Genomic DNA, 21,574 nt, shown 5'->3' on the forward strand with positions numbered 1-21,574 from the left:
GGTTCTCAGCAGAGGAGGGACACGATCTGCCTTATGTGTGCTGGGAGCGGGCACGGTCACAGATGAGAGGAGGGTAACCAGCTAGGACGCAATTGCCATAATCAAGGCAATCATGGTTGGGACCAGGCTTGAAATAATGAAGGTGTAGGAAGTGGAGCAATTTCAAAGGAAGACTTGGGTGCCATTTTAAAGAGCAAGGTCACTAACAAAAAGCACAAAAGTGTAAAAAAGTGGCATTAAATAGATAATGAAAAGGATGCTTATTTGCATCATGAGAGTTGAAACAAGAAGGTAGAATGTCTTGTCTCATCCCAGCTGGAACGTACATGTCGGGTGACTCAAAATTTTTATAGGCCTGCACGTGACTGCAATGATTATGAAAGTGCCATGAGTACTGATCTTGGGGTCACAAATAGAGTTTAGTGAATAAGAAAATTTGCAAATATGGAATTTATGAATAATGAGGACTGAACTGTCTGAAGGGTGAGAGGCCTATTATTCATGTAAGTGGAGATATGATAAATGAGAAGAAAGTTGGAGGTAGAGGCACAGATCTGGGAGTTATTGCAATGTATCTAAATCTCTATATCCTGCATGAAACTGGATGAAACCATCTTAGGAGTGTAGAAAAGTAATAGGAGAGTTCCAGAAACTGGATCCAGGGGCATTACAGCAAGAAGGTGCCTGCAAAGGATGCTGAGAAAGAGCAAATAGTAGAGTAAGAAAAAAACCAGGAAAGAGTCGTGTTTTAAGAATGATGAAGGGAGTCAGGAATGGGTCAATGCTGCTGAAAAGTCGAGTCTCATGAGATGTAAGAATGAACCTTTAGATTAGGCAAGATGAAGGGCACAGGTGATTTGGATGAATAGTTTCATTTGAACACTGGAGGTAAAAGCCTGAGTGGATCAAAGAGCAAATGCACAATTCTTTCCATGAGTTTCTTTTATTGTTTCAAAAATGCAGTTTATCGGGCCAGGTGCAGTGGCTCATGCCTGTAACCCCAGCACTTTGGGAGGTTGAGATGGGGGATCACATGAGGTCAGGAGTTCGAGAGCAGCCTGGCCAACATGGTGAAACAAACCCCATCTCTACTAATAATACAAAAATTAGCTGGGTGTGGTGGTGGGTGCCTATAATGCCAGCAACTCAGGAGGCTGAGGCAGGAGAATCGCTTGAACCTGGGAAGTGGAGGTTGCAGAGAGCCGAGATCATGCCACTACACTCCAGCCTAGGCGACAGAGCCAGACTGTGTCTCAAAAAAAAAAAAAAGCAATTTATTTACGTATTTTTAATTTTTAATTATGTTAAAAAATTTGTGTAGGTACATAGTAGGTGTATATATTTATGGGGTACATTAGATGTTTTGATACAGACATGCAATGTTAAATAAGCACATCATGAAGAATGAGGTGTCCATCTCCTCAAGCATTTATCCTTTAAGTTACAAACAATCCAATTACATTCTCTATGTTATTTTTAAATATATAATTAAGTTACCATTGGCTATAGTCACCCTATTGTTCTATCAAACAGTAGGTCTTATTCATTTTTTTCTATTTTTTTCATACCTATTAACCATCCCCACCTTCCCCCAATCCCCAACTACCCTTCCCAGCCTCTGGTAATCATCCTTCTACTCTCTGTTTTCCAGGAGTTTTGACGTAAATGAGAGAAAGAGAATAAGGTCACAACTGAAGGAGGATGTAGGATCGCAGATTCTTTTTAAAGGGGCGAGTACAACATATGTATGCTAGGGGGAATGAACCAATAGACAGGAGAACTGATGATGTGGATAGGTGAAGTCATCATTGCAGGTGGTACCTCTTCTATGACTGCAGTAACTTACTTAACTTCACATCCATTGTATGTGGTGAGTAGTGTTCCTATCTTCATCTATGGATGAGAAAAATGAAGCAAAGAAAGGTCAGAAACTGGTTCATGGGCACATGGTGATTAAGCGACAGAACCAGGATGCAAATCTGGACCTTCTGTTTCCAGAGCCTGTGCTTTCACTGCTGTGCCACACGTCTGCAACTTTAAATTCCCATCAATTCACATTTATTGATTACTTTGTATCTAGCAGTCACTAGCCAAGGTTGAATGGCGAGAGGAAGAAAGAGTGAAATCCCAGCCTCGGGCCTTTTTTTTTTTTATCACTCTCTTGGAAACATCACACTTTGCCCTCAAAGACAAGCTAGAGAGAAATGCTGCTGCTGCAGTTTGAGTGATGCCCATGAAGTCAGGGTTATTGCCAATACCTGATGCTTCCAGAATGTGTCTCACCTGCAGAAACACTGAGAGGTCAATTTTGAAGCACATGGGAAATAAAACTCATTCTTCAGGGTCATTCCCAAATCAAGAATTTAATTAATCTTCTCATAAACTTCTCCCACTCTTATTTTGATCCCACAGGAGAGATTTCTGAGAAAATAGCTCAGCTTTTCCCAACCAAAATGTATGCAGCTTGGCATTCCTTTGGACCCTGTCTACAGTGGTTAAATAAATCACTTGTTGCTAAACAGAGCAATTTATTCCCCTGACATCTGCATGGCCCTCTTGGTTTATTTTAAAATATATCAACTAACTTGCCACAGCTGCCATTGCTTTTAATGTGTCTGACACATCCAATTTCAATAGCTCAATGAAAATGTCATGCGATAAAACAGAGAGAGGCAGACAGAGAAGGTGATGAGAGTCGATGTGCAGACACACCCTTGGAAAGCAAGCAACAAAAACACTTGTTCAGGTGGGATTCAGGAAAGGGTCTTCCTGCCAGTAGTTTGGGAAATTAATTATATTACATAGAAACATCTCTTTTTATATATTCATTTTTAAAATGTTAATTCTCCATATTTGTTATTTTTACCAATAGAATCTACTCACTCTCCCCGCTATTTCACATCAAGTAGAACCTGCCTGGCTAGTGTTCTTAATTTTTCATTTCCACCAGAAATATTTACTCAGGATGTAGTCATGTTATTTGATAAGGTAAATAATTCTATAATGTTAGATGTGTGGCATCCATTCATTCATTCCACAATCAGATGATTCCATGCTACCAAACACTAGGCATTGTGCCTGGTGTCAGGGTCACAAGATCACCCTCCTGCCCTCACTGGGTTTGCAGTCTCATGAGGATGATCTCTCTCTAGAGGCAAAGGAGGAAAGAGGTGGTCATGCTGGAGCTCTGCTACTCATTATGTGGTAACTAAGACAACTGAATTGGACTCAGATTCCTCATCTATAAAAATGGAAAGATATTAAATATTGCCTGCCTTTAGGACTGCTGGAAGGATTAAAAGAAACAACATATGTCAAAGCACTATAAAACTCAACACAAACCTTGGTTCTTCTTAACTGAACTCAAAGTACTTTGTGATCATTGCTTCTCTATCTAGAATATCCAAGGAACTGATTCAACTACCTAATATCTACTATCTGTCGTATTTTTTCAGTGAAGCTGTCTGGCGTTCCAAATAAGGTGTTAGGAAAACAAAATGATGATATTATTTTGCCACAGCAATTAGAGAGTGTACTATAATATTCATCTGGATGCCTTGTAGATTCCTCAAGCTCAACAGGTCACTAACATAATCACTCTTCAGAATTTTCTCTCCCTGCTAATGACATTTACTCTGTCTCCCAAATTAGAACTTTCAGCTAATCCTGAAAAACTCTTCCTTCCTGACTTATTATTGATCTAAAATCCTGGACCTCTACCTCATTCATGTCTCTTGGGTCTGTTCTTGTTTATTCATCAGACAACCACTGCTCTGGGACAGGCCTTCTGTTCTCTTGGGTGGATCTTTGTAACAACCTTCAATCGAGCTGAGCTTCCTGTCAATGGCTTCTTCCTCTCTAACCCATCTGTGATGGTTAATATTGAGCATCAACTTGACTGGATTGAAGGATGCAAAGTATTGATCTTGGGTGTGTCTGTGAGGGTGTTGCCAAAGGAGACTAACATTTGAGTCAGTGGGCTGGGAAAGGCAGACCCACCCTTAATCTGGGTGGGTACAATCTAATCAGCTGCCAGCCCAGCTGGAATATAAAGCAGACAGAAAAATGTGAAAAGGCTAGCTTGGCCTACATCTTTCTCCCATGCTGTATCCCTCCTGCCCTCGAACATCGGACTCCAAGTTCTTCAGTTTTGGGACTTGAACTGGCTTTCCTTGCTTCTCAGTTTGCAGACAGCCTATTGTGAGACCGTGTGATCATGTGATTTAATACTTAATAAACTCCCCTTTATATACATACATATATACATACATATATACATATATACTAATATGTATATGTATATATATCCTAATGAATATCCTATTTGTTCTGTCCCTTTAGAGAACCCTAATACACCATCCTTCCTTCCTTCTTCCTCCAGTCATATCCCTAAAACTAAACATGATTGGGTTCTGCTTCCTGTATAAAAGCTTTGGGGCTTCCCCCATTATTCCTTGGGATAATAATCTAGAACAATTTCACAGCTACCTCTCCATGACACAAAGGCCCTTTTGACTGGCTGTTCCATGAAGCCTGTTTCTTTCTCTCCGCTCTCTCAGTTTGCTTTCACGCTTCCTGCGACTTCAGTGTCCCTCTCCCTGAGCCCTTTCCTTGGCCACTTCTAAATTCCCATTCAATTCTTCACAGTCTCTCTCAACACTTTGGACGTAGCAACTTCTTCTTTTGAGCGCCCACAGCACCTTCTATACCCTGCCAATAGATTTACTACATTGTATTAAAATCTATTTTTGGCTTATCACATCCTTGAAATGTGAGCTCCCCCAAAACAATGCTTGTTTTATTTATCTTTGTATCCCCAGTGCCTTGCTCAGTGCCTGGGATGATCCTGGGCCTGATGGATGTTTGTTAATAAAGGTAGGAAGAGGTAGAGCTTGGCTTCATTACTTCGCTTCTTTCAGGTGTTTATCCTGAATGTTCCTGTTCCAAGAGTTGCCTAGCTTTCCTCCTGCTTTTACCTTACTTTAAATATTAAAAAACACTGCGGTGGTCTTAGTTGTTTGGGCTGCCATAACAGAATACCGTATACTGGATGGCTTAAACAACAGAAATTTATATCTCACAGTTCTGGAGGCTGAGAAGTCCAAGATCACGGTGTCAGCTGATACGGTTCCTGGTGAAGGTCCTCTTCTGGGTTGCAGGCTGATGACTTCTCACTGTATCATCACAGGATGGAAAGAGAGAGAGCTCTGTGGGTTCCTCTGGTAAAGGCACTCATTCCACACATGAGGCCTCTACTTAATTACTCCTCAAAGGACCCTTCTCCTAATACCATCATACTGCAGGTTAGGATTTCAGCATATGAATTTGGTGTGTAGGGCCAAGAACATGCAGTCTTAATAGCTACAGTCCCATTCCTCCTTGAACCTTATTCATCCCACATCTCTATTTGTCTTTAGGGCACAGAATGTAGGCTAAAAGGATGGATTCTGGAATGACACTGCCTCTATTCTCATCACCACTTACCTGTTGTGAAACTTTTGGCAAATTGCTCAACCACCCCATGCCTCAGTTTCCTCATCTTTAAACTAGAGATAATTATATACTTATTTCATGGAGTTGTATGAGCATTAAATAAGTTCAAACTTAGAAGAGGACCTGACCCTGAGGACGCATACAGGGAATGTTAGCTGTTACTAGTTTTACAAGAATGTGAATTCTCCATCTGTGATCCTCTCTCTCCTCTCCTCCAAGCGCCTTCCTCTGGGTCCCACAGTCTACCTCTCTTATCTCACCTGCCACCTGGCTTCAAAATTGTCTGTGCACCTGTACTTCTCAGTAGCTGTTAAGTCATTTTAAGACATGCCATATCTTTTTATTTTGATTCACTCCCTGCCTGCCACTCTCCCCTAGAAGATATAGGCACAGAGTTGGCACTCAACAAATTACCACATTTAGGGGTACATCATCGACTATTAGCCAATATGATCTAATGGAAAAGTGACAGGCTATCACAGTCATCACTCTCCTCCCAACAGTGCTTTTTCAATAGAGTGTCTTCTAAAGCCATTTACCCACTTTATACCCAATTCTTCCACAATTATATTAAATTTTAAAAAGTGACTAATGAATAATGGACAATTCAAATCAGATAGGAGACAGTGGAGTCTGGCCAAGCAGGGAGGGGCATGGCCCTCCCAGAATTGACCATCATGCTGTGTGTGTTGGCTGCCTTCATAGTTCATTCACTGAGCCAGCCCGGGGGTTAAAGAATAATGAGATCGTGAAGGGTGCAAACAAAATCAGTCTCAATACTTTGTAATATAGTGCATTTATTACTTGTGTTTATCTGTGTGCATGCCCACACACAGCCCTGCTGCGTTATTTTAAGCCAAGAAAGGGACATGCTACAATGTATGTATCGAAGCAGTAGAACTATGTTGAAATTGTTGAGTAGCACAGGCAAATTGCCACCTGCTGTGTATCTTGAAGCCAGAACATTGGAGCCTATTACAGGTGAGTTTGAACTAATAGTAATGTGCTTCTCACTTAAAATCTTCTATCAATCATACTATTTATAGTTTTTCCTGTAATCAAATTTAGAGGGGTATTAAAAAATTGAAATGCAGAGAAGGCTCTTCTGCCACCACTTCCTTTAGTTCGATATTCAGTGGCATCCCTACTGTGTGAAGGCTGACTTGAAAGTTTGGCAAGGCTGGCTTCTCTAGGGCATCTCCTGCTACACTGAAGCAATTCTGCACCACCTTTCCAGGTGCTCTCAATCAGCAATGCTGAAGGAAGAAGAATGCAGAGTTCCTTTTAGTAGAACATTTTCCTCACTTCCTCTTTGCTCTTCTTGCTTGAGGCAGGTTGATAGGCATGGCTGGCAGCCCAAATTGCAGTGCCCAATAAGCAACCCTTAGAGAGCCAAAGTGCATCCTCCCACACTGATTCTAGCTTCTCTTAAAGTCAGAGTCAGTGCATTATTTTCCACTAATATATATACACAGACCTACAGTGCCGCAGCAAGTACTAGTCCCAGAAATCTTCCTACCCAGGCTCCTAACACTTTCCTTCATTGATTAAATATGCCAAGATGCACTTAGCTTCTCTCCTAGCCTGTTCTACTTCCTGTAGTGTCAAGCACAGGAAGTTTATCTTTAGAGGTGGAATGAGAAGATCTGATGGAAATGCAAGAGAGAAAGGGGAAGTTGACACTGGAACTGAAGAACTCAGAAATAGTTCTCGTGTTAAAAGGGATGGCTGGTCGGGAGGTGGTGGCCTGTAATCTCAGCACTTTGGGAGGCCAAGGCGGGTGGGTCATGAGGTCAGGAGTTTGAGATCAGCCTGGCTAACATGGTGAATCCCATCTCTACTAAAAATACAAAAATTAGCCAGGCGTGGTGGCACACATCTGTAATCCCAGCTACTCAGGAGGCTGACGCAGGAGAATTGTTTGAGCCCGGGAGGCGGTGGCTGCAGTGAGCCAAGATCTTGCCACTGCACTACAGCCTGGGTGACATAGCAAGATGCTGTCTCAAAAAAACAAAAATTAAAAATAAATAAATAAATAAATAAATAAATAAATAAATAAATAAATGGGATGGCCACCTATCCAGATGAGTGTGGCCCATGTCCTGAAATCAGTGACAAATTGTGGGAATCAGTCAAAGTTTTCTCCTAATTTCTTTCTTTCAGCTATCCATGAACTAATTCTCAGAATGGAATGTCTAGTGTGTTGTACAAGACACAGTTAGAAAAGTTCCTTAACAGACTTTTCTTAGCTTCAGTAATGGTATTATGTTATTTAGTCAACGAATGATTAAGATATTTTGTTTTTATGTTGTACTATGAGGTATGGTTTCCTTTCTGGTTTCTCTATGCTTGTGAATACAGAGTTCGGAAGAGCTAATCAGGCTCTGATGGTCTACCTGCATACTTGCCTGGAAGTTCTACATCTTTTTGAAACTCTTCTCTTAACTTCTGAAACATCATTTCTTCATTTCTTTTTGTTCTCTCACTAGCTCACTGGTTTTCTTTCTTATTTTAATATTTTTTGCTAGATTTTCTTCGGGGCTGTGTCCTCAAACTTCTCTTCTTAATATCTACTCTCTCTTTCAGCATTCATTCGTTCCTTTGATCTCATTACCATGTATGTCCCGATGACTCTGTCATCTTTTATTTCTAGCCCTAGCTTTTTTTCAGAGTCTAGACCTATATATCCAATGGTCAAACAAATATTTCTTCCTGGGTGTCTCTAAAATAACTAAAACTCACATATTCAAGGATAAGCTCATCATTTTGAATACTTTTTGTAACCAACTCCTTTTTCTGTCCCTAGAGCCAACTCCTTAAGATAAAACCACTATCCTGTCTTGCCTGGACCACTGAAAAATTCCTTAAATATAACAAGTACTAAATAAATATTTGTTGAGACAAATAAATATATAGGCATGGAGGTAGAGGCTATTCAAAAATCTCAATATTTGTTTGTTTTTCACATGAATGGCTATCTGTTCTATCCTATATTTATGAAACTGAGCTTTTTGGAGCTAAACTTTGCATTTTTCAGTTAAAGTTATTCAAAATAGCTTTGTTCATTGTTCCAGTTTTCTGATATTATTGTTACTCTGTCATCAATCATGTTAAATCTACTTTCCAACTTTATGTCATTTCCACATTTTATAATTTTGTTATTTCTTTCTTCCAGACATTTAAATAAATGTTGGTTGGGAAAAGCCAAGGACAGAGATCTAACAGCAGGCCAAGGATATTTTACTCTAGTCTCATATTAAGTGAAATTGTTCACTTGCATGCAAATTGGTAAGCTCCATTCTCATCCAGGACAAATTTCTCTATCTTGTCAACAGGAACATCATGGAAACTTTTCTTAAATGTCTTGTTGAAATCAATTTAAACTGTGGCTATGGTGTTCACTTAATCTACAATTCTAGTGATCCTATCAAAATGCAAATGAGTTTGGAAGAACTTGTTCTTAGGAAATACTTGCTGGATTTTAGTCATTAGGATCTTCATTTCTTTTTAAAAATGTTATTATTACACTATAAAAGCAACTTTTAAAATGATAAAAAGTTTAGAAAGTAAAGAAAAAGGAAAATAATGTATACCCTACAGCTATTTTACAATGAATATCATTGTACTATATTCTGTTCAAGTTTTTTGGAGAAGTTGGCTTTTTTATATCGTGAAGATAATAGTGTATATACAATTTTGTAGCCATTTAAAACATTTATTCTGCCTATTTACCAGTATTGCCTCAATGTATATACTTCTCATAGGTTTCATAACATTCCAACCTATGTCTCAATTATAAAATTTTAAACACACCCAAGTCGCTGGACATTTGGACTATGTTCAATTTTTAAATTATAAATAATAATATGATGAGTATTTTGTATACACAGCTGGCCCTCTGTATCTGTAGGTCCTGCATCTGTGGAGTCAATCAACTGCAGATAAAAGATATTTGGGAAAAGAAATTAATGTTTACATCTGTACTGAACATGTACAGACTTTTTTTCTTGTCATTATCTCCTAAACAATACAGCATAATAGCAACTTATATAGCATTTACATTGTATTAGGTGTTGTAAGTAACTTAGAGATGATTTAAAGTACACAGAAGGAGGTTTGTTGGTTATATAAAAATACTATGTCATTTTATATCAGGGACTTGAAAATCTGTGGAATTCAATATCAATATCTGTGGGTGGGGGAGGTCCTGGAACCAGTACTCCCCAAATACCAAGGTACAACTGTACAGATCTTTTTCTTAGTTTATATTTTTCTTGGATAAATCCCAGAAGTTAGGTATTTGAGTCAATTTTCTCATGACAGTAGGTAGCTAGTCATGTATGAGCAGGGCAGGAGAGGACCCCCAGCCTGACACACACACCAAGAGCATTGGGCGACCATCAGGTGATGGTCAGGCATTTGTTAACTGTTTCTCTAAAGTAGTAATTGGTCACAGCTGGCACCAGAGAAAGGCAGTTTCCCAACAGGCAGAAAACACCTGAAACTGATCAGCAGCTTCCCAGTAAGATCTCAGGAGTTGGGGGAAGTAAGGCAAATCCTGGAAGTAGGCCCGAGTCAAGAGGTCAAGCTACGCACTTGGTTTCTCAAGTCATTCACTTGGCCCTCTTCAAGTTATACTTCCCTTCTTTCCTTTCCTTCCTTTCCTTGCTGTTCTAAAGCTTTTTCACTCCTGCTCTGAAACTTGCCTCAGTCTCTTTTTATGCTTTATGCCCCTCAGTTGAATTATTTCTTCCAAGAAGGCAAGAGTTGAGGTTGCTGCAGATCTGTACAGATTGGCTACCAGTAACTCGGGGTAACTCAGATCTCTTCCACTAGTAACATCCTGATGCCTAATACATATGTCTGTGTTAGTCAGGTGGCTGGGTTATGTTGCAGTAACAAGTTATCACATACATTTATTTAACAACACCAAAAAGAAATAAAAATCCTTAAATTTTAATGGCTTAACACATAAAAGTTTATTTCTCACCAATTCTGCTGTGGGTCTCAAGGTTCTCCAGGGTAGTTCCCTTCAAAGATTCAGAGATTTAAATCTCAGGGATTTAGGGTGGTTCCGTCTTGGCCTCCATGATTGATGTGGCAGGAAAAGAACTGAGAGCTGTATAGGGGCTTTTGAAGCCTCAGATTGTCAGCTGGCCTCACAATCCATTGGTGAGAAGTAGCCATGTGTTGCCACTCAGTTGCAATGGGTGCTGAGAAGCGTGACTTCTGTGCATAAACTAGGCAAAGGGGTATCACTACTGAGGTCTACTCCAGTGGAGAGGTTCTGAACTATATAACTAGCTAACCCGGAACTACAGAATTTCTTAGAATTCCCTTACTCATAGAGTTACACATTAGATATGACCACAGGAGATATTTTCACGAGATTTGGAAAGTGGAAGTGATGCACAGTCACTAAGCTCAGAAGGAGCAGGCAACAGGTGCCGCTGCAGCTCCCAGCCTCATCTCCTGGCTCACTCTGTTGGTGTGGGCAGTAGCTAGCCCACAGTCCTCCAGCTCCCATGAGATCTCTTCCTTCAGCTCATCTGAGTCCTGGGTCAGATGCACATGCAATGCCATGAGGAAGGGTGCCAGCTTTGTTTTTAGGTCACCCACACTATGGAGTTTGGAGGTGGTGAGAGCTAGATGCAAATTTTGGTTTGTCTTCATGAGTCTTCATGAGTCCAGCTTGTCTTCATGAGTCCGGCTTGTCTTCGCTCTCTCCCGCTTCATACCCAGCTTTCCTTCCTGACTGCCAGCCCAACTGACTCACAGTGACTTAAGGCCTACCACCAGACACAGAAGCATTAGCTTTCCGGAGAGGTCTTTACCATAACTGCATGGTATCTAATGCCTAAAATAAAATTTTCAGCCCAGGATACCCATACTGATTTTGTTTCCCTGATAGACCCTAATTGATAGTTGTACATTCATATTTTTAACACCATAGGGCCTAATTTTTAATATATATATATTTTTATTATACTTTAAGTTCTAGGGTACATGTGCACAACGTGCAGGTTTGTTACATATGTATACATGTGCCATGTTGGTGTGCTGCACCCATTAAGTCGTCATTTACATTAGGTATATCTCCTAATGCTATCCCCCCCCCGCCCACCCCACAACAGGCCCTGGTGTGTGATATCCCCCTTCCTGTGTCCAAGTTTTCTCATTGTTCAATTCCCACCTATGAGTGAGAACATGTGATGTTTGGTTTTTTGTCCTTGCGATAGTTTGCTGAGAATGATGGTTTCCAGCTTCATCCATGTTCCTACAAAGGACATGAACTCATCATTTTTTTTAAGGCTGCATAGTATTCCATGGTATATATGTGCCACATTTTCTTAATCCAGTCTATCATTGTTGGACATTTGAGTTGGTTCCAAGTCTTGTGAGCAGTGCCGCAATAAACATACATGTGCATGTGTCTTTATAGTAGCACGATTTATATTCCTTTGGGTATATACCCAGTAATGGGATGGCTGGGTCAAATGGTATTTCTAGTTATACATCCCTGAGGAATCGCCGCACTGTCTTCCACAATGGTTGAACTAGTTTACAGTCCCACCAACAGTGTAAAAGTGTTCCTATTTCTCCACATCCTCTCCAGCACCTGTTGTTTCCTGACTTTTTAATGATCACCATTCTAACTGGTGTGAGATGATATCTCATTGTGGTTTTGATTTGCATTTCTCTGATGGCCAGTGATGGTGAGCATTTTTTCATGTGTCTGTTGGTTGCATAAATGACTTCTTTTGAGAAGTGTCTGTTCACATCTTTCACCCACTTTTTGATGGGGTTGTTTTTTTCTTGTAAATTTGTTTGAGTTCTTTGTAGATTCTGGATATTAGCTCTTTGCCAGATGAGTAGATTGCAAAAATTTTCTGCCATTCTGTAGGTTGCTTGTTCACTCTGATGGTAGTTTCTTTTGCTGTGCAGAAGCTCTTTAGTTTAATTAGAGCCCATTTGTCAATTTTGGCTTTTGTTGCCATTGCTTTTGGTGTTTTAGACCTGAAGTCCTTGCCCATGCCTATGTCCTGAATGGTATCGCCTTGGTTTTCTTCTAGGGTTTTTATGGTTTTTGGTCTAACATTTAAGTCTTTAAGCCAACTTGAATTAATTTTTGTATAAGGTGTAAGGAAGGGATCCAGTTTCAGCTTTCTACATATGGCTAGCCAGTTTTCCCAGCACCACTTGTTAAATAGGGAATCCTTTCCCCATTTCTTGTTTTTGTCAGGTTTGTCAAAGATCAGATAGTTTGCAGGGCCTAATTTTAAGGTATTGTGGTTACAGACTTTTTATTCGAATTTAGTGCTTAGAAGTCCAAGATCACAAAGATACACCTGACCCACGTTGAAGGGGAAGAGGGAGTGAGTTATGGTATAGAGAAAGGAGGATACAATTGTCCAAAGTGAAGATAATTATTACCAAAAAAACCAGAAAGCACAGTCATTAGAGCAGGGAGCAGCCTTCAAAGCAGCTCTGTCCTATGCAAGTAGACCTGAGGGGAGGGGAGCTTTGCAAGGATGTGCTGGGGTGGGGATCGTAGAGGAAATCCATGCCTGTGGCCACATTTCCACAGCTGTGAGTAGGGCCACTCTACCTGGAGCTGATCTTGCCCCAAGGACCAGAGTTAAAGGGGAAAAGGCTAATCTGGGGGGAAATCCACACTGAAGCAGTAAAAGCCATCATTTTCTGGGAAACAGAGTCAAACGGAGTTTAACAACTTATCTCTGTTTCTATACATTTTCTCCCAGCATCACATTTGGTAACTGTTTTTGTTTGCCATGCGGCTCTGTGTGAGGTGCCAGCACCTCTGATGTGGGCGAGGAACATAGGTGAGGCTGAAGTACACACATTCTGGCTTGGAGTTGTTCTCTGAACATTAGGCCTTCCTAGGGCTCCCTCAAAGCACCCCAGTTGACCAGGCAAAGGAAGGGTGACTTGTGGACTTCCACCACACTGCCCCCACATGCACACTACTGCCCGCTCTTCGTGCCAATTACTCTCACCGGAAGAGGAACTCCCTATCCAATTGCCCTCCCCCAACCTTTCCTCTGATTACAAACAAAACAAACAAATGTTTCCACACTACTTCAAGGAACTGTGGCACACTGGAAAATACCCAGATGAACAAAGAATTCTATTTCCAGATTGCATGTGATTCGTGCCACCCATGTTGACTTCAGCTGTTGCACACTCAGTTCTTTTCTGAGGGGAACTATCATTTAAAGCTGTGCGTGTTAAGAATCAGGAAATCCTAAGCCACCCAATGGTCTGTGCCCACTGAGCTCAAGCAGGGCATCAGACACCATGTGATGCACCAGTACTAGTTGGTACATTGGGGAATTGACCAAATCCCAATAAGCCTTAGGCACACTAGTCCATCTGGATTAGCTCATCGGTGTGGTTCAAGTCACCAAATTTTTTATACCTCATGTCTTGCTATGTAAAATAGCAATCATAATGCCTTTTCATACCAATGCAGATATTACTTAGAAACATGGCAAGAAATGAATAAAGCACTTTAAAGTATTGCAAACAAAAAAGTTATACACATCCAATTTTATTAACATTCACTTATAAATTATCTGCCCTTGTCATATATTGGAATCGTGTTTTTTAGGCAAATATAACAATCCTCTACTGCAGGAGAGAAAGTCTTCTTGGTGATATGAGAAATACTGGTGTGATAATTTCATAAATTATTCAAGTCTGTGGAAACACTCCAGTTCAGAGAAGGGTACCTGGATTTGTTTTCAGCTTTCTCGATTTTCACATGCACGTTAGGCTATCTGGTTTTGATAGTGCGTGTTTTCTTCTATTAAGTGAGATAGCTTTCTCAATAATTATATCAGAAACAGCAGCAGTGAGTGACTAGAGGGCCTCTACTGGCCTCAGGCATTTTCTAAAAACCGGAATTAGCTGTCAAATTTTGAGAATACAGAGCTTCCCACGGCCTCCCCCATCCCTGCATTTGGTGTGCACCTCACAATTTCATGCAATTTAGTGACTTGCCAAGCTCCTGCAGGCATCTGTGTTTGTGCTGAAGATGTCTGTCTCCTCTGCGGTGCACCGTGTCGTGTATCACAGCATATTGGAATGGGTCTGTAGGTAGGAATAGCTGATTTGTTATTCAGGATGGCTTTAACAGCCGCTGGAAGGAACACACCATCTTATGGTAGTTGCTCTTCCACACAGCTTTGTTCTCTGCATGGGTGAGGGGTATCTCTGGGGTCCATCAACTATTACATCATGATGCCTGTGCAATATTTACTTGCTTACGTCCAATCTACTGGGTCCCTGAAGAATAAGCTTTTTTCTTCTTCTTAGCTAATATTTACCCCTCCTTTTCTCTAATGATAGAGTACTGGGAAGCAGAAATCCCTATCTCCACCTTCTCTCACCAACTCCCCAGCCTCCCCACTCATTCTCAGTCCTGGGGACTGGGGGCTAGTGGCTGAGTGTGGGCTATACTGCCTTGCTGTTTGCAATGAAACAATTGTAAAATAAAGAGAGCAGCCAAAACAGGGAGTTATGAGCTGAGAATATGGGAATAAGCACACAATTAGTTCTGACGAAAGAAATATCTTCCTGATGTTATTAACAATCTACTAGAAATTGTGTCCTCTTTACCAACAGAAAAATATTGATGTGCAAGAAAATAAGCTTATTTCTAACTTAATTTTTTAAGGGGTAGAAAATATGATAAATTTTGCATACATACAATTTATTTATTTATATTATAGCCCTGTATGATACAAGCATTTTCTCATCTAAAAGTGTTATTTTAACTCAGAAAACATACTGGCATTAAGCTCTTGAGCCTCAGAATGGAGCACAGAGGGAACAAAACCCTTTTGAAATTAAAAATATTATTCAGCAGAAACTGATACTTTTGAACCAATATGAATTTGAAATAACTAAATATTTTTTCAAAATCTCCCTTAACATCAAAGTTCAAGATGATTGCATTTATTTTGATGTCACTATATAAATACAAGGATGTTAACTGATACTCACCTAAGTCAAATATTCCAGTTGCATTAACAAACATACACATAACAAATATAAATTTATATCAAATGTCAAATTTCCCCATTATCTTCTCCTCTTCTTCATTAGGAATTTGATGTTCTGAAAAGTGCCTTTTTTGTCTGCTTCGATTTTTTGTTGCTGTTTTTTTTTTTTTTGCTTTATAATTTCTAAGCATTTAGGCAGAAAAGAAAGAGGCATTAAAAATACAACTCAGAAATATTTAAATTTTGATGAAATAAGAGTCTTGTTAGTTGCAGTCTCTTTTGAATACTTTCCTTGGGAGAAAATATGCTGTGAAACAGTGATCTGCCACTACAAAGTGGTTGGGGACATTAGGTCATTTCTAGAAAGCAATTATATACACCTAATGGCTTATTCCCTACAAAATGAACTATTATGGTGTCAGAAAAGGCTAGATACTTTATCATCTGAAAGACAGGTTGCTCAGATGTATACAAATGAATTTATTCTCTTGACCTCTAGTTCAGATGTCAGAAATATTTTGTACTAAAACAGAGATAGGTTCCTATATTGGAATATGTTCAATATTTACTACCTTTCTCTTCTATTCTCTATCCATAAAACTCTGCCTGATTAAAATATTTTAAAGTGTACTTTTTACCTGATACTGTTAATAGCATTGATGATCCTGGATTTTAAAGATGGCTGCTTTAGTCTACTTTGATTTTGGGAAAGCCATTTTAAACAAACAAATATGTGGTATCATTTAAAGTTTTATAAAGAATTAAGAGTAACTGAATGACAGCTGAATTTCTCATGTATTTATTGACTGCCTCCTAGGTTCAAAGTTCTGTGCTGCATGCAGACATATCAAAATTTCTTATATCTTTGGATCATGAATGTCAGGGTCTTTCAGCTCCTGGTCAGAAAAAATACTGTCATGTCAGAGTGAGGAATTCTTAGTATGAGGTGGTGCTGGGGAGTACCAGTAGCTTCAGTTCAAAAATTCATTGCTCTGGGTCCCAACAGCTTTGTTCCAAGTCTACATCTTAACAGTATGTGGAAGGATTGGTTCAGGCTTCCTTTATATTCTACATAGATCTTGATTTGGGATTTTTAGGAACCAATAGCTTAAGCTATGTTAGAACAATCCAAAAGCTTTAAAAATTGTCAGAGCAAACCCTATAGCAAACCCTATCTAGACCTTAAACCTTGGCGTTGATAACTGAGAATTTAAAGACTCTGGAGGCAGTGTTTTGTTCCTGTGGGGGAGAGGCCAGGTCAACTTGCAGAGTATCTCCCAGAGTCTGGTATCAAGTGTCTTCACTCCCTGTCACATCACTTTTTTCCCAACACTTTCATTATCCATATTTTGCTCTGCTATTCCAAATGTGTAGTCTCTAAGAATAACCTGAACACACCAGGTTATTCTCTCCCTCGACAAATTCTGAGTGCATGATTTAATACAAAAACAATTTGAATAAGAGATTTTTATCTTGCTACATTTTGAAAAGCCCTTACAGATACAGTTTTAAATATGTAATTGAAATGTGGCATTTTCTTGAGTATTCAATACATTTCTTGGATTTTTTTTTCCTAACTGCAGGAACAGCATACATAAAAACGCTCGGGTCCTGAAGCAATTCTTTAAGCACAGCAAACGTTGAGTCAAATGGCTTTCACTCCATGTTTATAAAAGGCAATGCCACCATCATAAGTTTCTCAATAATTCCTATCACTTTTAAGCATTTTCATGTATTAATCTCAATATATTTTAATAGCATACATATGGTCTCAAAAAACCCTTTCCTGGGGCTTACTGTTGGCTTTTTATTCCCCCAGATCTTCTTAAAATCTTAGCCTATACATGACTTAGAACATGTTTTTAACAAGTTATATGAAAATCTCCTTTTGTGCTCCACATTGACAGAGCCTGTCTGAATCCCAGAGAAGGCAATCACATCCTGTTATGTTGTCAGTGTGAGAGGCAAAAGCTCCAAAGTACTAAGTTCCTAGAGCTGTAAATCCATTGTGCTTCATGTTATAAATAAAGAAATTGCCCTGTGACAGCTACAGTTTGGAAGCATTATCATTTCTCTTTTCAGCTCTCACTTTTAATCTTTTCAGTTATTTTCCTTAGTAAAACTTAGCCACCAAAGTATGACTTCTTGTGTCACAAACCTATATGCCACAATTAAAAGAAAGAAATTCCAGCCAACCATGTCAGTGGCTGTAGTCAGCATTTAAGACAAAACTGACTCCTATCGATTTAGCAGAAGAGAGTTCTCCCTGCCCCGTGTCTCCTTCCATCCTGCCGCTCCCTGCCCTCTCCAGCCTTTTGGGCAAGCCTTTTCTTCCTGATGCATTGCGAATGTGTGATGTACGCTTTCTAGCAGATGCATTTGAGGTTAGGTCTTCGCAACCATGAAAACACAGTTATAAATTGTTCTCGGAGCTAACCCACTCAACATCTTGGCACTTGGTTGTTTTTAACTTTTCAACAATAGGCACTGTTCACTCCCCTCCATCTCAGTTCTTTATTCAGTGATCAGGCAGGACACTGATGAAAGGCTAGTCACGGCTTCCCCCCATGGTATCAGTGTGGTGGCATGTGATGATTCACATGGGGTGTGTTTGATCCGAGGAAGCCCAGTCTCTGCTTATTCTTCCTTTGTTCTGTCATCTGGGGGAAAAGAGAGAGTGTGTGTTCAGCGGATTTTCTCACTCTTACCCAGTGCTGGTGGGCCACAACCGTTTTGAGTTAATATTCCCCAACTACCTACTGTCCAGCATCATATAGAATATATTTATCAAAAAAGGGATTTTTTTAAAAGTGAATTTCCATAAACAGAGAAAAAGAGCAAACCCCTCTGTGTGGTTAGGAAGCAGGAGCCATTTTAGAAAACAGATCTTGCCTGTCACATAGCTGTCACCATCACCACAGTCATTTTAATAGCTACCATGGTTACTGTTGATATTTTTACTAACAATTTTATATGATAAAGGGGTTCATTATAGCATTGAAATGGCAGATACTAATGAGGATTTGCCTTTCCCATGGGCTTAGTAATTACTATCATGGCAGAAAATGATTTTTTTTTAAATGCAAAGAGGTGCTTGTATTTTGGCATTTTATCCTTTCCCCCTTCCATAGAAGGAGAAGTGTCGTGTGAGGCTCAGGGAGATGGGATAAGTAGAAGTCCCCGTTTGCTGGGATGTGGTTCTACAGTACAACGTGAGGTTTCTTTCTCGGAGTTTGCAATTCTCTGTGGATAATGACCTGGCTCCCTGGACCCTCTGTCTCCCCTCACCGGAAGTGGTGAATGACTTTATCCCACCCAGCCCCATCTCCCTGAATGCACCCACCTGCTCCTTGAGCTCCGCCAGCTGACCCGACAGCTGTTTGACCAGACTCATGGTCGATTCCAACTTCTCCTGAAGGCTCCGAATTTCATTTTGCTCACTGTCGCCTTCATTGCTAACGAGGGACATGGCTCGCATCCGAGGAAACCAATCCAAATTCTTCTCCTGAAAGCAAATAAATGTGTGCGAACAAGGGAATAAGTATGGAAGGGGAGAATGTCTATAGCTGTTTATTATTACTAACATTTAAACCAAAGTCTCTTAGCACTCAAATTGGAGAGAGAAAACCTGGCATAGGGAGGGGCTGAAGTAGGGCTTAGACACTGGTCTTCACGGGCTGGGGGAAGACCCCAAATATTGAAGCAAACTTTATACGGGCTTCCAGGGAGGTTCCGGCTGAGACATTTAGAAAGCACCGTGAAGGCTGCAGGCATTCAGTGAATGATGGTGAATGATGAGGTGGGGTCTGGAGGCTGGGGGAGCAGATCCAAGTGTGTGTGGGTACAGCATAGGCATGCACTGTTTCTCTTTCCCCCTGGCACACAAGAGAAGTGGGGGGATGGTATAGGAAAGTGGTAAAAGAAATGTTTCAGCCTCAGCCACCCACACTACTTTACCTCCCACTTCCTCTGTAAAGGCTCCCCACCAGCTCTGCCTCCCTCAGAGCTCCACTTGAGGAAGAGGGAAGTGGGAGGGCATGGCCTGAGGTTACTCTGTCTGCTCCCTTTGGAAAGATTTTATTGCAATGGGTGAGAGTTAGACTTCCCCACAGGGCAATAGCTGGTTCCACTTCTGTTTTTGTAGGCAGCCTGGGTGTATGTAGGTGTTTTGTGTGTGTGTGTGTTTTTCCTCCAATCGTGGCAGACTGACAGATGCTTTCTTCAAGACTCTGCTCGATTGTCTAACATCATAGAATCACTATGCATTACTTATATGACATTTTTCCATCCTCCCCAAAGCTCTGCAAGGTAAATCATGTGGTCCCCATTTTACAGATAAGGAAACAAGAGGCTCTAAGTTTCATTACTCTTGTCACAAGCTAGTAAATGGCAAAGCTGGGATTTGAAGCCTCTGCAGCATTGATGGGGTGTGCCAGTCTTTGTCTCTGTCTACTCACCTATTTCTCTAAATCACCTTCTCCCAACATCCCTAGCAGTGAGCATCATGCTTGAAACTCTTTCCATTCCAGAGAAGTCCACTGAAATGGCTACAACAACCTCTGCCTGTGGGATCCCTAGAATGAGAGTCACTGGAGTGTTCTTCCCTAAGTGACAGTGGCAAGGCCCAATTTGTGTATCTCTAGACTGCAGGCTCAATCTTACCTGGCCCTTGGGTTGGCTTTTTGTTGTTGTTGCATCAGAGAATAACAAGTTCTTTATAGTTCCCTACCCCCAATGGCAGTGAAAAGGGATGATAAAGAACTAAAGATAAAATATATTGAAGAGTTTTAAACTGCATTTAAACAGCTGTAGCTAATTAGCATTTCAAAGGTGAACAGTAACTTACTCTAAAGTGCAGAGTGACAGATTCATTCATTCAGTCAATCCTTCAGCATCTATTGTTAGGTATTTAGGGGTGAAAGTCAGATAAGACTGTGTGTCTGCTCTCAAGGAGCTTATGGCTCAGGACAGCCCTCCACAAAGAGTGGGCTGCACACTGTGTGTATCAAAATCCCCTGGTTGCTTGTTAAAACTGCAGATTCCCACCCCACCACCTCTTACCAAATCAGGACCTCAGGGAATGTGTGTGGTTCTAATATCATTAAAGTGTTAAGGACTCTGGTTTACAGAAACAGAGAAGACAGTGGCTGGGTAGGGAGACAGAGCAAAAGGGAAAGATCTGAAATAGGCATGTGGGGGAAGAGCAGAGGAAACCTAACAGGGGCCCATGAAATGCTTGCACGGTAGTGTGGCTGGGCCAGCTGCTCACACACAGCCCAAGTGGATGTGCAGATGAGGCAGAAAGCTGGACTGACACAGCATGCTGTGTCTCTCTGGGATGAGCATCAGGAAGATCAAGGTTTAAGGGAGCTGGGAAGATCAATAGAGTGGTGGTTGATGTGATGCATGTTAATGTGTGAACTGGTAGGAAGGAGGGAGGAGAACAGACCTGTGCTAAATGCTCTTTAAGCACTTATTCCTTTCAACAATTCTGTGAACTTAGGTTCTGTTATCTATCCAGTATTTATATTACGTATTATCTGAATTTTACAAATGAAGAAAGTGAGGTGCCATGGTTTAGATATGGTTTGTCTGCGTTCTCCAAACCTCCTGTTGAAATTTGATCTCCAGTTTTGGAAGTGGACCGAATGGGAGGTGTTTGGGTCACGGCGGTGGGGGGGGGGGGGGGGCGGGGGTCAGATCCCTCAGGAATTGGCTTGGTGCCATTCTCACAGTAGTAAGTGAGCTATCATTCTTTTTTGTTTGTTTGTTTTTGTTTTTTGTTTGTTTGTTTGTTTTTAAGACTGAGTTTCACTCTTGTTGTTGTCCAGGCTGAAGTGCAATGGCACAATCTCAGCTCACCACAACCTCCGCCCCCTGGATTCAAGTGATTCTCCCGCCTCAGCCTCCCGAGTAGCTGGGATTATAGGTGTGCGCCACCATGCCCGGCTGATTTTGAATTTTTAGTAGAGATGGGGTTTCTTCATGTTGGTCAGGCTAGTCTTGAACTCCTGACCTCAAGTGATCCGCCTGCCTCGGCTTCCCAAAGTTCT

At 40.7% G+C, this 21,574-nt stretch overlaps 1 protein-coding gene and 2 long non-coding RNA genes across 7 annotated transcripts in view, besides 1 other annotated feature; 1 reads left to right on the top strand and 2 right to left on the bottom strand.

Moving 5' to 3' along the window:
- Positions 1 to 21,574, top strand: part of ITPR2-AS2 (ITPR2 antisense RNA 2) — a 103,881-nt gene that overhangs the window by 2,379 nt on the left and 79,928 nt on the right. The gene's annotated exons all lie outside the window — the stretch shown is intronic.
- LOC107984482 (uncharacterized) lies at positions 1,618 to 10,763 on the bottom strand. Its single transcript, XR_001749054.2, has 3 exons — positions 10,484 to 10,763; positions 5,082 to 5,174; positions 1,618 to 1,893 (listed from the first exon to the last, which is right to left on the bottom strand). It is a non-coding gene; the product is annotated as an uncharacterized LOC107984482 (long non-coding RNA).
- ITPR2 (inositol 1,4,5-trisphosphate receptor type 2) overlaps positions 14,050 to 21,574 on the bottom strand; it is a 497,843-nt gene continuing 490,318 nt past the window's right edge. For all 5 annotated transcript variants that reach the window (NM_001414174.1, NM_001414175.1, NM_002223.4 and 2 more), the window contains 2 exons: positions 18,865 to 19,026; positions 14,050 to 18,181 (listed from right to left, as the gene is read on the bottom strand). In NM_001414174.1, the coding sequence (NP_001401103.1) occupies positions 18,095 to 18,181; positions 18,865 to 19,026 (249 nt within the window). In that variant the 3' untranslated portion in view covers positions 14,050 to 18,094. The remainder of the gene's footprint in view (positions 18,182 to 18,864; positions 19,027 to 21,574) is intronic.
- Positions 19,308 to 19,357: an enhancer, noted in NCBI's record as "active region_6123". NCBI's record gives its function as "activates an Ori minimal core promoter by ATAC-STARR-seq in GM12878 lymphoblastoid cells {active_cell/tissue: GM12878}" and the evidence as "EXISTENCE:reporter gene assay evidence [ECO:0000049][PMID:35858748]".

This window comes from Homo sapiens, chromosome 12 (genome assembly GCF_000001405.40).
Source record: "Homo sapiens chromosome 12, GRCh38.p14 Primary Assembly".
NCBI classification, from domain to species: Eukaryota; Metazoa; Chordata; class Mammalia; order Primates; family Hominidae; genus Homo; species Homo sapiens.